At 42.6% G+C, this 15,833-nt stretch overlaps 1 protein-coding gene across 1 annotated transcript in view, besides 1 other annotated feature; it reads right to left on the bottom strand.

Moving 5' to 3' along the window:
* AMD1 (adenosylmethionine decarboxylase 1) overlaps window positions 1-15,833 on the bottom strand; it is an 81,097-nt gene that overhangs the window by 57,367 nt on the left and 7,897 nt on the right. The window lies entirely within an intron of this gene.
* Window positions 11,734-11,934: a silencer, noted in NCBI's record as "peak6028 fragment used in MPRA reporter construct". NCBI's record gives its function as "represses an SCP1 promoter by STARR-seq MPRAs in K562 erythroleukemia cells {active_cell/tissue: K562}" and the evidence as "EXISTENCE:reporter gene assay evidence [ECO:0000049][PMID:32103011]".

Below are 15,833 nucleotides of genomic sequence, written 5' to 3'. Positions count from 1 at the left end.
CACGATCTCAGCTCACTGCAACCTCTACCTCCTGGGTTCAAGCGATTCTCCTGCTTCAGCCTCCCGAGTAGCTGGGACTATAGGCACATGCCACCACACCCGGCTAATTTTTGTACTTTTAGTAGAGGCAGGGTTTCACCATGTTGGCCAGGCTGGTCTCGAACTCCTGACCTCATGTAATCCACCCGCCTCGGCCTCCCAAAGTGCTAGGATTACAGGTGTTAGCCACTGTGCCTGGCCAGAAAACTTTCATGTATCAGAGGATTTTTTTTTTTTTTTTTTTGAGACGGAGTCTCACTCTTGTTGCCCAGGTTTGGAGTGCAATGATACAATCTCTGCTCACTGCCACCTCTGCCTCCCAGGTTCAAGTTATTCTCCTGCCTCAGCCTCCTGAGTAGCTGGGATTACTGGTGTGTGCCACCACACCTAGCTAACTTTGTAGTTTTAGTAGAGACGGGGCTTCACCTTGTTGGTCAGGCTGGTCTTGAACTCCTGACCTCAAGTGATCTACCCACCTCTGCCTCCCAAAGTGCTGGGATTAGAGGTGTGAGCCACCGCCCCTAACCCAGAGGAATATATATATATATATATATATATATATTTTTTTTTTTTTTTTTTTTTTTTTTTTTTTTTCTGAGATGGAGTTTCGCTCTTGTCACCACGGCTGGAGTGCAATGTCACACACTTGGCTCACTGCAACCTCCGCCTCCTGAGTTCAAGTGATTTTCCTGCCTCAGACTCCCGAATAGCTGGGATTACAGGCACCTGCCATCACACTTGGCTAATTTTTGTACTTTTAATAGAGACAGGGTTTCACCATGTTGGCCAGGCTGGTCTTGAACTCCTGACCTCAGGTGATCCATCTGCCTCGGCCTCCCAAAGTACTGGGATTACAGGCATGAGCCACCGTGTCCATCCAAGAATATTTTATGTATCAATTATGAACCTGGTAAAACTTCTGCCAGAATTATTGTAACCTGTATAGAAAGCATGTAGACAACTGAAAGAAAATACTTTTCCTTTTTTTTTTTTTTTTAGTTTTAAATAGAGATGGGACTCTATGTTGCCCAGACTGATCTCGATCTCCTGGGCTCAAGTCATCCTCCCGCCTAGACCTCCCAAAGTGCTAGGATGACAGGTGTGAGTCTTTTTTTTTTTTTTTTTTTTTTTTTTTGAGACGCTCTGTTTCTCAGACTGTACTGCAGTGGTGGTATCAGACTGTAGTGCAGTGGTGGTATCACAGCTCACTGCAGCATCAAACTCCTGGGCTCAGGCAATCCTCTCATCTCAGCCTCTCAAGTAGTTAGGACTACAGGCACTTGCCACCACACCTGGCTAATTTTTTAGAAAAAATTTGTAGAGACAAGGTCTCATTATGTTGCCCAGGTTGGTCTCGAACTCTTGACCTCCAGCCATGTTCCCTTCTCAGCCTCTCAAAACATTGGGATTACAGGTGTGAGTCAAGGTGCCTAGCCTGAAAACATTGTTTCATATCTATCAACAGAGACCAACTCTTCACCAGCCTATAAATAATCTCAACTCGCTATTCCCACTAGGTTCATTTCCAGTAAAATAAATAAATACAAGTACATTAAAAAACCTAACAAAACAAACAACCTTGGTCAGGACAGAGAAAAGTACAAAAAGGTTTTCTTAACTAAAAACAAAAACAAAAACAAAAAACAAATAAACAAAACAAGCCAATTGTGTCTTACTTATGTTTTATTAAGATTTTAGAAAGAAAATATTAGCATAGAAGTTTCCTGTGAATTTCCTAAGAGCTTGAAACAAAAATAAATGATCAGAAATGTTTGGGAAATACTCTAAATGAAAATATTTTGTCAAATTTTTTATATTCCAGTATTTAGTGACTCTGTTATCTATATACTGTTGTGTAGTATTTTTTTTAACTTCACAATATAAATGAACATCTTTTTCCATCAACACAAACTAGATCTACAACATTCTGTTACATGGCTCCAGTGTAGCCCACTGAAAGGTTATATTATTATTTATTTATTTCTATTTTTTATGATAAAAACAGTCATAGCCAACATCATACATAAATTTTTTTAACACCTCCAAAGATGAGCATTGATTTTTTGTTGTTGTTCATGTATCTTTGCACACTTGTCTAATTACTTTCTTAAGACTTCTCAAAGTGGAACTGTTAGGTCAAAAGGGATATTTTTGTATTCCTATTGCCAGATTGCCTTCAGGAAAGATTATATAGGTTTATCTTCCCTTTGAGAATATATAACATTGTTCAATTTCCCAATCTTTAATGAAAACCGAGCTAGCTTCAGTGATTTTTTTTTTTTTTTTTTTTTTTTTGAGTCAAGGTCTTGGTCTGTTGCCCAGGCTGGAGTGCAGTGGCGCAATCACGGCTCCCTGCAGCCTCAGCCTTTCTGGGCTCAAGTGATCCTCCTGCCTCAGCCTCCCAAGTAGCTGGGACTGATTTTTTTTGGGGGGTGGGGTGGGGGGATGGAGTCTTGCTCTTGTTGCCCAGGCTGAAGTACAGTGGGATGATCTCGGCTCACTGCAACCTCTGCCTCCTGGGTTCAAGCGATTCTCCTGCCTCAGCCTCTTGAGTAGCTGGGATTACAGGTGCCTGCCACCATGCCCAGCTAATTTTTGTACTTTAATAGAGACATAATTTCACCATGTTGGCCAGGCTGGTCTCGAACTCCTGACCTCAGGTGATCTGCCCGCCTTGGCCTCCCAAAGTGCTGGGATTACAGGCGTGAACCACTGCGCCCGGCCTGATTTTTTAAATAATAGAATTTGCCAAGATTTGGAAGATCTGCATGACTCAGTGAAACACAATATTTTCCAATGACAAATGTCTGATGTCTGATGCTACAAATTAAGAAAAAGATTCATTCAAAGTGTAGGATAGACCAACGGATTTTAAAGTAACTAAATATAAAAACTTCATTACTATAGTTTCAGATTCCACATTATAACTAACTTTTGGGAAACACAGCACTTGTTGAGTTTTTATGTAGTATCATATAATAGTATCCACAGGCCGGGTGCGGTGGCTCATGCCTGTAATCCCAGCACTTTGGGAGGCTGAGGCGGGCGGATCACGAGGTCAGGAGATTGAGACCATCCTGGCTAATACGGTGAAACCCCGTCTCTACTAAAAATACAAAAAATTAGCCGGGCGTGGTGGCGGGCGCCTGTAGTCCCAGCTACTTGGGAGGCTGAGGCAGGAGAATGGTGTGAACCCAGGAGGCAGAACTTGCAGTGAGCCAAGATCGTGCCACTGCACTCCAGCCTGGGCGACAGAGTGAGACTCTGTCTCAAAAAAAAAAAAAAATAGTATCCGCATAATTATCTGAAAAGGCTATTAAAATGCCCTTCCCTTTTCTAACTATAGATTTTTTTTTTTTTTGGATGGAGTCTCTCTCTGTCACCAGGCTGGAGTGCAGTGGGGCGATCTTGGCTCACTGCAACCTCCACCTCCTGGGTTGAAGTGATTCTCCTGCCTCAGCCTCCCAAGTAGCTGGGATTACAGGCATGCACCACCACACCCAGCTAATTTTTGTATTAGCTGGGGTTTCACCACGTTGGCCAGGATGGTCTTGATCTCTTGACCTTGTGATCTGCCCTCCTCGGCTTCCCAAAGTGCTGGGATTACAGACGTGAGCCACAGTGCCTGGCCGCCAGATTTTTTTTTGGTGGATGCAGGGATCTCACTATGTTGCCCAAACTGATCTTGAACTCCTGAGCTCAAGCAATCTTCCTGCCTTGGCCTTCCAAAGTGCTGGGAGTATAGGCATAAGCCCCCACACTCAGTGAGATTTAAAAAAATGTATACTTAACCAAAACAACATATTGCAATAGAATGACTGCAGAAGCAGATAAGGAAATCTACCTGTAGTCTATACATTTGATATAGAGATGTAAAACAATGACACATTTCTCACTATTTTTATTTCTGTTTTGGAAAGCACAATTATTTTCATATAAACATGCTAGAATATTATTATTATTTTTTAGGAGATGAGGTTTTACTCTGTCACTCAGGCTGGAGTGCAGTGGCGTGATCATAGTTCACTGCAGCCTGGGACTCCGGGGCACAAGCGATCCTCCCACTTCAGCCTCCCAAAGTGCTGAGATTATAGGCATGAGTTATCATGTATGGCCTTGTTATTTCTGAATAATTAATAATTAACAAAAAAATTATCAACCAGCCTAGGCAACAAAGTGAGACTTCGTCTCTACAAAAAAACCAGACAAATTGGCTGGGCATGATGGCTGGCGCCTGTGGTCCCAGCTACACAGGAGGATTACTTGAGCCCGGGAAGTCCAGGCTGCAGTAAGCCATGTTTGCATCACTGCACTCCAGCCTGGGTGACAGTCTAAAAAAAAAAAATTGTTTTTCCTCATACACGAAATACTGATAACTATAAACCACATAAGCAAGAGTTCTTACGTTCCACAAGTCTTTGATATTATATTTTTATTTATTATCGTTATTTCTTTTCATAGAGACAGGATCTCACTATGTTGCCCAGGCTGGTCTCGAACTCCTGAGCTCAAACAATCCTCCTCCCTCAGCCTCCCAAAGTGCTGGGATTATAGGCGTGAGCCTCTGTGCCCTGCCTTTATTCTTCAGCTTTTAAGAGGGTAAAGAAAAGCAAAGGCCAAAGAGTTTAAGAGGAGTTAGTCTACTATGTGAGTTTTGTTTTAAAAAACAACTTTAATTAATCAAATTAATTTTTATAAAAGTATATAGGTATATATGCTGAGTTATACTTATAGAGAAATAAATAATAAAGTCACTGAGAAGATTTTAAACTAAACTATTCCTGAGAATATTTAATAGGCACATTGCAATTCTTTCTCCAGACTTACTGATCATGGCTCCTAGTTTCCATTTCAGTTTAACTGGCTCTTGGAATTAGTCTACCTGAAGTGTTCTTTTTTTCCCCCTGGTACATACAATCATTTTTGTTTAATTTTTCTGGATGTATTTGCATCATCAAAACTAGTGCTATATCCCAATTCTATCACCACATTCTCTTGGCCATTGTAGAAGGTAAATCAGAGCAGGAAAATACTCTGGACAACTGAAGCATTCTTTTATTTCACAAATTATGAATGTCTATGGAGTACTGTAAACTGCTAGGCACTATGTATTTCTTGGTGAATGAAATAGACATAGCCTTTGCCTTTATACTGTGATTCTTGCTTCTGGTTAAAAATAGGTGGATCAGCCGGGCACGGTGGCTCACGCCTATAATCCCAGCACTTTGGGAGGACGAGGCAGGTGGATCACCTGAGGCCAGGAGTTTGAGACCAGCCTGGCCAACATGGCGAAACCCCATCTCTACTGAAAATACAAAAATTGGCCAGGCGTGGTGGTGGGCGCCTGTAATCCCAGCTACTTTGGAGGCTGAGGCAGGAGAATCACTTGAACCTGGGAGGCAGAAGTTGCAGTGAGCCGACATCGTGCCACTGCTCTCCAGCCTGGGTGACAGAGTGAATCTCTGTCTCAAAAACAAAACAAAACCTAAAAAACAAAAAGTGGATGGAACAAACATTTCCTGTGTTTCTCAAGGTATCACTGAAATAGATTCAGAAGTACAAAGAGGGGTAATCTAAGAGTGAGAACACTAGAGGATGAGCTTTTAAAAATTACTATTCTGAGTGGTGATAAGTTAAAATTTAAAAAGTAAATAAAAATAAAGACAAATTATGTCTATAACACTGCTGATAGGTTTGTAGTAGCGTATAGGCAGCTATAGGTCTTGTCTACAAGGTTGGAGAGATGCAGGTGGTTTGTCACAGGCCTCTGAGAAGTTCTGGGGCTATCAGAGTTGGCACAGGAGGGAGTGCAGGAATAGACTTCAGAGTTGGGACATCAATTGAAGAATTGCATGTAGGCCAGGTGTGGTGGCTCATGCCTGTTATCTCAGCACAATGGGAGGCTAAGGTGGGAGGATTACTTGAGTCCAGGAGTTTGAGACCAGCTTTGGAAACATAGTGAGACTTCATCTCTACAAAAAATTAAAAAATTAGCCAGGCATGGGCTGGGCACGGTGGCTCATGCCTGTAATCCCAGCACTTTGGGGGGCTAAAGCAGGTGGATCATGCGGTCAGGAGTTCAAGACCACCCTGGCCAATATGGTAAAACCCTGTCTCTACTAAAAATACAAAAAAATTAGCCAGGTGTGGTGGCATGCGCCTGTAGTTCAGGAGGCTGAGGCAGAAGAATCGCTTGAACCTGGGGAGGCGGAGGTTGCAGTGAGCCGAGATCCTGCCACTGCACTCCAGCCTGGGCGACAGAGAGAAACTCCATCTCAAAAAAAAAAAAAAAAAAAATTAGCCAGGCATAGTGGCTTGCACCTGTAGTCCCAGCTACTTGGGAGGCTGAGGTGGGAGGATCGCTTGAGCCTGGGAGTTTGAGGTTGCAGTCAGCTGTGATAATGCCATTGCACTTCAGCCTGGGTGACAAACTGTGACCCTGTCTAAAAAAAAATAAATAAATTAAAAAAAGAATTGCATATAAAACAGTTGATTTTCTCTTATCCACTCCATTTCCCCTATGGGAAAAGTGTTGTCAAAGCAAAGCCATTAGACATTTAGCATCAAGCTGAAAACAGGAGTGGTGTTGTAAGACGAGAAATGCTAAGGTTCCCAATGCAAACATTGGCTCCTCAGAGGAAAGTGAAAGATGGAATTGACAAGAGGCCTTAAGAATCAAAGAGGTCCAACCTTTGACTAATGAGAGTCCTCAAGGCTGGGCGTGGTGGTTCATGCCTATAATCCCGGCACTTCGGAAGGTGAAAGTGGGAGGATTGCTTGAGCCCAAGAGTTAGAGACCAGTCTGGGCAACATAGTGAGACCCTGTGTCTATAAACAAAAAATAATAAAAATACTTTTTTTTTTTTTTTGAGACGGAGTCTTGCACTGTCGCCCAGGTTGGAGTACAATGCCACGGTCTCCGCTCACTGCAATCTCTGCCTCCCGAGTTCAAGCCATTCTCCTGCCTCAGCCTCCTGAGTAGCTGGGATTACAGGTGCCTGCCACCACGCCTGGCTAATTTTTTGTATTTTTAGTAGAGATGGGGTTTCACTATGTTGGCCAGACTGGTCTTGAACTCCTGACTTCGTGATCTGCCCGCCTTGGCCTCCTGAAGTGTTGGGATTACAGGCGTGAACCACTGCACCTGGCCATAAAAATACATTTCAAAAAATAAAAATGAGAGTCCTCAAAAGAGTTGCAAAATTGAGTAGTAAAGTAATGATCATGGAGAGAAAGAAAGTAAATATCAGAGAAAATAACAGAGCAAAACGAATTAAAAATACCCACACCCAGACACATGCTTGTGAAACATTAAGTCTCCAAGATTAAAGAATCCTCAGCCTGGGCAACATAGTGAAATGCCATCTCTACAAAAAAATTAAAAATAAAAATTAGCCAGGCATGGTGGTATGTGCCTGTACTCCCAGCTACTGGGGAGTCTGAGGTGGGAGAATTGCTTGAGCCCAGGAGGTCAAGGCTGCAATGAACTACCATCAGGCATTGATGACGCAGAGCAGATGAGCCCCAAACTGGGGCTTAGCCTGGGATAGTTCTTGTCTTTGCCCAGGAAAGAATTCGAGGGCAAGCTGGTGGTGTTAGACAGCAGCTTTTACTGAAGCGGTAGTGTATAGCAGCAGCAGAGGTACTGCTCCTTGCGGAACAGGGCTACCCCATAGACAGTGTGCCCAGAGTAGCAGCTCAGGGGCAGTTCTGCAGTCATATTTATACCCAGTTTTAATCACATGCAAATTAAGGGGCAGGTTATTTAGAAATTTTCAGAAAAGCAGTGGTAACTTCTGGGTATTGCCATGGCAATGGTAAACTGCCATTGTGCTGGTAGGCATGTCTTATGGAGGAATGCTTTTGGTACTTCTTCCTTGTTTTAGCCAGTCTTCCATCTGGTCTGGAGTTGAGTCCTGCCTCCGACCTGAGTGGCACTCCAGCTTGGGCAGCAAAGTGAGATCCTGTCTCGAAACAAACAAAAAATAGATCCTGGCCGGGCACGGTGGCTCATGCCTGTAATCCCAGCACTTTGGGAGGCTCAGGTGGGCGGATCATGAGGTCAGGCCACAAGACCATCCTGGCCAACATGGTGAAACCCCATCTCTAATAAAAATACAAAAAAATTAGCTGGGTATGGTGGCGTGCCCCTGTAGTCCCAGCTACTCAGGAGGCTGAGGCAGGAGAATCACTTGAACCCAGGAGGTGGAGGTTGCAGTGAGCCGAGATCGCGCCACTGCACTCCAGCCTGGTGACAGAGCCAGACTCTGTCTCAAAAAAACAAACAAACAAACACACAAACAAAAACAAAGATCCTTAACATTTCTATGGGAAAAATAGGACACTTAAAGTGAGGTTAAACAGATTTACAACACGTCTGAGCCACTGAATGTTAGAAAATACTGGATTAAAGCCTTCAGGGTTCTCAGAAAAATTAATTTATTTATTATTTATTTATTTTTGAGACAGGGTCTCACTCTGTCATGCAGGCTAGAGTGCAGTGGCGCAATCATGACTCACCGTAGCCTCAACTTCCCAGGCTCAAGTGATTCTCCTACCTCAGCCTCTCAAGTAGCTGGGACTACAGGCTCGTGCCACCATGCCTGGTTAATTTTTAATTATTATTATTATTATTTTTTGAGACAGAGTCTCCCTCTGTCGCCCAGGCTGGAGTGCAGTGGCACGATCTCAGCTCACTGCAAGCTCTGCCTCCTGGGTTCACGCCATTCTCCTGCCTCAGCCTCCCGAGTAGCTGGGACTACAGGCACCTGCCACCTCGCCTGGCTAATTTTTTTGTATTTTTAGTAGAGATGTGTTAGCCAGGATGGTCTCGATCTCCTGACCTCGTGATCTGCCCGCCTCAGCCTCCCAAACTGCTGGGATTACAGGCATGAGCCACCATGCCCGGCCGATGTCCGGTTAATTTTTTTTTTTTTTTGGTAGAGATAGAGTTTTGTCATGTTGCCCAGGCTGTTCTCGAAGTCCTGGGCTCAAGGGATCCGCCTGCCTCAGCCTCCCAAAGTGTTGGGATTGCAGGTGTGAGCCACTGCACTCAGCCGAAAATTCATTTTTCACTTAGGATTCTATACTCAGGCCAGGCACAACTGTAAAGAGGTCGGCACAGGGGTTGTTTGTTTGAGACGGAGTTTTGTTCTTGTCGCCCAGGCTGGAGTGCAATGGTGTGATCTCGGCTCACTGCAACCTCCGCCTGTCAGGTTCAAATGATTCTCCTGCCTCAGCCTCCCAAGTAGCTGGGATTACAGGCACCTGCCACCATGCCTGGCTAATTTTTGTATTTTTAGTAGAGACAGGGTTTCACCATGTTGGCCAGGGTGGTCTTGAACTCCTGACTTTGTTATCTGCACGCCTTGGCCTCCCAAAGTGCTGGGATTACAGGCGTGAACCACCGCGCCCAGCCAGCATAGGGCTTTAACAGCAGGACAGATGAAAGGCACCCAACCTAGTTGAGGGGAGGTAAGAGAAGACTTCCTGAAGGAGATGATCCTGAGCTCACCTTAGACCATGAGCAAACAGCTTGGTAAATCTCTTCAGTAAATTTCCCTGATCTAGATTAGACTGTGGTAAGAGAAATTTTACCTCCAGATTCAAATTTGACTTCCACATTGCTCATAAACTTATGATGAAGGGCATAAGCATTTAAATATAGTCATAATTTTGCTTAGTATTCCCATCACATATGCAGTGAACCTGACTTGCAAGATTTGCAGCTCAGTTCTCCTCATGACTAATCCGTTGATGCTGGGCACACCCACCTTTCCTTTAGACTTGGACAAACTGTTAAAACCATCACATTTTTCTTTTATTGCAGGTTTCTTTTTCTTTTTCTTTTCTTTTCTTTCTTTCTTTTTTTTTTGAGACAGAGTTCCACTCTTGTCCCCCAGGCTGGAGTGCAATGGCGTGATCTTAGCTCACTGCAACCTCTGCCTCTGGGTTGAAGCGATTCTCTCCTGCCTCAGCCTCCCGAGTAGGTGGAATTACAGGTGCCTGCCACCCATACCCGGCTAATTTTTGTATTTTTAGCAGAGACGGGGTTTCGCCATGTTGGCCAGGCTGGTCTTGAACTACTGGCCTCAAGTGATCTGCCCACCTTGGCCTCCCAAAGTTTTGGAATTACAGACGTGAGCCACCGGGCCTGGCCAGCCTCTCTTTTTTAAAATCATCCCATAGTTCACTTCAAAATCTCTTTTCTGAATAAAAATTAAAATGCCCAAGCTCTGTGAAATTAACATCAGCTTGATAGTGGGTTAATCAACTTTGTTTTTGTTTTGTAGCTTATTGTGTTACTGTGTGTATTATACATTTGAAGACATTCAATATTTTTCCACACACGATTTAGGAAAAAAATGACAATAAAAACAATAAAAGTTCTTATAATCTGTTGACAGAAAACACTAACCTAATGTTTAAGAATGAAATTTGTCTAACATGTTATGCTTTCACCATCAGAGTAGAGTAATACCACTAAAAGATGGAGAGGGTGTGTTTTAGCAACATTCTCGTAGTGTTTTTTTTTTTTTTTTTGAGATGGAGTTTTGCTTTTGTGGCCCAGGCTGGAGTGCAGTGGCACGATCTCAGCTCACTGCAACCTCCTTCTCCCAGGTTCAAGCAATTCTCCTGCCTCAACCTCCCAAGCAGCTGGGACTACAGGTGCCCCCCACCACGCCTGACTAGTTTTTGCCTTTTTAGTAGAGACGGGGTTTCACCATGTTGGCCAGGCTGGTCTCAAACTCCTGACGCCAGGTGATCCACCCACCTTGGCCTCCCAAAGTGCTGGCATTACAGGCGTGAGCCACCACACCCGGCCTCTTGTAGTTAGACTCTCCTTTATAGAAAGAAAACATGAGGTCCCAGTGCAGTGGCTCATGCCTGTAAACTTAGCACTTTGGGAGGCTGAGGTGGGAGGATTGCTTGAGCCCAGGAGTTAGAAACAAGCTTGGGCAACACAGTGAAACCCACCTTAAAAAACAAACAAACAAAAAAAACTGAAAAAAAAAAAGAAAGAAAAATATGAATAAGAAAGTCCTGTCCATGGATATCAAAGATGCCCTCCAATTCCCACTGAATGGCTTTTTCAGGATGGCCCCTCATTCAGTAACAGAGTCAAAGTTTGGACACAGCTTTGGGTTAAATGCTGTTCCCGTAAAATTTATGTTTACCTGGAACCTGTGAATGTGACCTTTATTTTGAAATAGGCTATTTGCAGATGTACTCAAGTTAAAATGAGGTTATGCTGGACTAGTGAGGGCCCTAAATCCATTATGACTAGTGTCTGTGGAATGAGAAGAGGGAAGTTTGGGCCTGGTGCAGTGGCTCAGGCCTGTAATCCCAGCACTCTGGGAGGCCGAGTCAGGTGGATCATCTGAGGTCAGGAGTTAGAGACAAGCCTGGCCAATATGGTGAAACCCTGTCGCTACTAAGAATACAAAAATTAGCCAGGTCTGGTGGTGGGCACCTGTAATCCCAGCTACACAGGAGGCTGAGGCAGGAGAATTGCTTGAACCTGGGAGGCGGGGGTTGCAGTGAGCCGGGATTTCGCCACTGCACTCCAGCCTGGGCCAACAAGAGTGAAACTCCGTCTCACAAAAAAAAAAAAAAAAAGAAAGAAAAGAAAAGGGAAGTTTGTTTACACAAATACAGAGGGAAGACGGCCATGTGGAGACAGAGATTTGAGTTATGCTGCCATAAAGCAAGGACTGCCGAGGCTTTCAGGCAACACCAGAACCTGGAATCTGCACAGAAGGATTCTCCCCTGTGGGCTTCAGAGAGATCATGGCCCTCCAGACATCTTGATTTCAGACTTCTGGCCTCCAGGACTGTGAGCTAATCAGTTCCTGTTGTTTAAAGCCACCCAGTTTGTGGCAATTTGTCACAGCAGCCTGAGGAAACTGACACAGGCATCAATCAAGCCCTTCTCATACCCTATCAGAAGGAGGCGGGCAACCCTTCCTTAGTCTGGGCTGCATCCTCATCCTACAGAGAGAAGTTTGATTCTTTTTTTTTTTTTTTTTTTTTTTTGGGATGGTGTCTCCCTCTGTTGCCCAGGCTGGAGTGCAGTGGTGCAATCTCAGCTCACTGCAACCTCCACCTCCCGGGTTCAAGCGATTTTTTTTTTTTTTTTTTTAATGAGACAGGGTCTCTGTTGCCCAGGCTGGAGTGCAGTAGTGTGATCATAGCTCCCTGCAGCCTCGAACTCCTAGGCTAAAGTGATCCTCCTACCTCAGCCTCCTGAGTAACTAGGATCACAGGGCCATTCACCATGCCTGTCTAATTTTATAATTTTTTTGTAGAGACGGGGTCTTACTCTGTTGCCCAGGCTGGTCTCAAACTCCCGTCTCAAGCAATTCTTCCACCTTAGTCTCCCAAAATGTTGGGATTACAGGTGTGAGCCACTGTGCCTGTCTAGATGTCTGATTTTTAATCCCACTGCCTCCCAGTCCTACTCCTCAGCTGTCCTGACAGCAGCTCTGTACTAAGTAGACTAGAATCTGTTTTCTGAACACTCTTCAAGCCTAAATCATCCTTATTTAAGGGAGCTTTGTTCTCAGACTTTTAATCAATGTTTAAGTAGTCTGAATATCACTCCTGGAAGAGTAACAGGTTTTTACTTGGCAGCAAATGCTCTGAAATCTGATTGACTAGATAACTGTTACTGGCAGACTAGAAAGCGTAAAGGCAAGGAAGCCCTCTTATACTTACTGAGGCAATGAACATGTCAATGGCAGTGGCAGTGGTACCTACATGTTCTCTGCATTTCATAAGCCCCGTGACTCTTGCATACATGGAGAAGGGGTAAAAATGACTATCAATCAAATATGGAAAAAAGAAAGCAGAGGTGGTTTAACATATACAAAGTAAGATTTAAGACAAAGAGGATGGAATGTTTCAGTGGGATCATTTGATCTTGATAAATGGCAAAATCGATACAATAGTCTCCTCTTATCCACAGCTTTGATTTCCATGGTTTCAATTAGTTACTAGTTACCCATAATACAGAACAATAAGATGTTAAGAGAAAGAGAGAGATGAAGAGAAAGAGGACCACATTCATATAATTTCTGTTATACGACATTGTGATAATTGTATTTTATTATCAGTTACTCTTGTTTATCTCTTAACTGTTCCTAATTTATCAATGAAACCTTATAATCATAGGTATGCATGTATAGGAAAAAGCAGTGTGTGTATATGTATTTGAAGATCAGTACTATCTGGGCTTCAGGGGGTCTTGGTGTGTATCCCCCAAGGACAAGGTGGGACTACTATACTGGGTATTGCAGTCTTTGCCCTCTATAGTCTTACAGACCTGAGGTTAAATCCTATCACTGTCTAACCATAAAACTACAAAATTATCCTCCTGGAGCCTCAGTTTTCATATAGGTAAAAAGGAGATAAAACATACCTTCCTCATAGGGCAGCTATGAGGCTTATATTAGCTAACGTATGCCTAGGATTCAATAAAAGTTAGCTCTCATGTTCACTCTACTTACTTTCCAAGAAACATACCAAAGCCATTGTTTCTTTCCTCAAGCCCTTTGCCCTTACCTTCAGTGCTTTTTTTTGTTACCAAAAACTTTATGCTCTTTATAAAATTTAATTTTTATTTTTTTGCCTTAAGCTATGATGTTTGAATGTTACCAAAAACTTTAAATCTATCATTTATTAAAATAATTTGGTTTCATTAAATAACTTTTTTAAAAACATACATTTTAAAAATTTCAATAGTTTTTAGGATACAAGTGGCTTTTGGTTACATTGGTGAATAGTATAGTGGAGATGTCTGAGATTTTAGTGCACTGGTCACTCAAGTAGTATGCATTGTACCCAATATGTCATTTTTTATCTCTTAATCCTCTCTCACCCTCCCTTTTCTGAGTCTCCAGTGTCCATTATATCACTCTTTATGCCTTTGTGTACCCATAGCTTAGCCCTACTTGTAAGTGGGAACATACAGTATTTTGGTTTTCCATTCCTGAGTTACTTCACTTAGAATAATGGCCTCCAGCCCCATCCAAGTTCCTCAAAAGACAGTATTTCATTCTTTTTTATGAATGAGTGGTATTCCATGGCGTATATATACCACCTTTTCCTTATCTATTCATTGGTTGGTTGATGGGTACTTAGGTTGGTTCCATATCTTTGTAATTGTGAATTATGCTGTGATAGACATAGGCATGCAGGTGTCTTTTTGATATAATAACTTATTTTCCTTTGGGTAGATACTCAGTACAGGAATTGTTGGATTGAATGGTACATCTACTTTTAGTTCTTTGAGAATTCTCCATACTGTTTTCCATAGAGGTTGTACTAATTTACATTCCCACCAGCAGTGTATAAGCATTCCCTTTTCACCACATTATTTTCATTGTCTTGATTCTTCTAATCTGTGAGCATGAGATGTATTTCCATTTGTTTGTGTCATCTATGATTTATTTCAGCAATGTTTTGTAGTTCTGTTGTTGAGATCTCTCACTTCCTTGGTTAAATATATTCCTAGTTATTTTATTTTTTTCAGATATTGTAAAAGGGATTGAGTTCTTCTAGAAAAGAACCCAATAGGGAAAAGACACCCTATTAAATAGTTTAGTTTAGGCATTGAGTTCTTTTCTAAAACACATCTCTAGCTCTCAAGGAACTAGAGATACAAGAATAAACCAAACCTAAAGGTAACAGAAGAAAATTCTTTTTCTTGAGTTCTTGATTTGTTCTCAGCTTGATCATTGTTGCTGTATAGGACTGCTACTGATTTGTGTGCATTTATTTTGTAGCCTGAGACTTCACTGAATTCATTTATCAAACTAGGAGTCTTTTGGAGTTTTCTAGGTATACAATCATATCAATAGCAAACAGAGATAGTCTGACTTTCTCTTTTCCAATTCGGATGCCTTTCATTCCTTTCTCTTGCCTGATGGATCTGGTTAGTACTTCCAGTACTACGTTGAGTAGAAGAAGTGAAAGTGGGCATTCTTGTCTTGTTCCAGCTCTCAGGGGAAATGCTTTCAACTCTTCCCCATTCAGTGTGATGTTGGCTGTGGGTTTATCATATATGGCTTTTATTATTTTGAGGTATGTTCCTTCTATGCCTAGTTTTTTGAGGGTTTTTATCATAAAGAGATGTTGGATTTTAGAAAATGCTTCTTCTGCATCTATTGAGATAATTGTATGCTTTTTTTTGAGACAGAGTTTTGCTTTTGTTGCCCAGGCTGGAGTGCAATGGTACAATCTCGGCTCGCCACAACCTCCACCTCCTGGGTTCAAGTGATTTTCCTGCCTCAGCCTCCTGAGTACTGGGATTACAGGCATGCGCCACTACGCCCAGCTAACTTTTGTATTTTTAGTAGAGACAGGGTTTCTCCATATTGGTCAGGCCGGTCTTGAACTCCCGACCTCCAGGTGATCTGCCTGCCTCAGCCTCCCAAAGTTCTAGGATTACAGGCATGAGCCACTGTGCCCAGTCTGGTTTTTGTTTTTAATTCTGTTTCTGTGGTGAATCACATCTATTGACTTGTGTATATTGAACCATTCCTGCATCCCTGGGCTGAAACCCACTTGGTCATGGAGAATTATCTTTTTGATGTGCTATTAGATTTAGTTTGCTATATGTTGTTGAGGATTTTTGCATCTATGTTCATCAGGGATATTTGTCTATAGATTTCATTGTTTTTTTAAATAGGATAAGATTTCTTTTTTTTAAAATGTCCTTTCCTGGCTTTGGTATCAGAGTGATACTGGCTTCATAGAATGAGTTGGGGAAGATTCCTTCTTTCACAATCTTT

The sequence above is a fragment of the Homo sapiens genome, chromosome 6 (assembly GCF_000001405.40).
Source record: "Homo sapiens chromosome 6, GRCh38.p14 Primary Assembly".
NCBI classification, from domain to species: Eukaryota; Metazoa; Chordata; class Mammalia; order Primates; family Hominidae; genus Homo; species Homo sapiens.
This window is presented reverse-complemented; position numbering and strand designations above follow the sequence as displayed.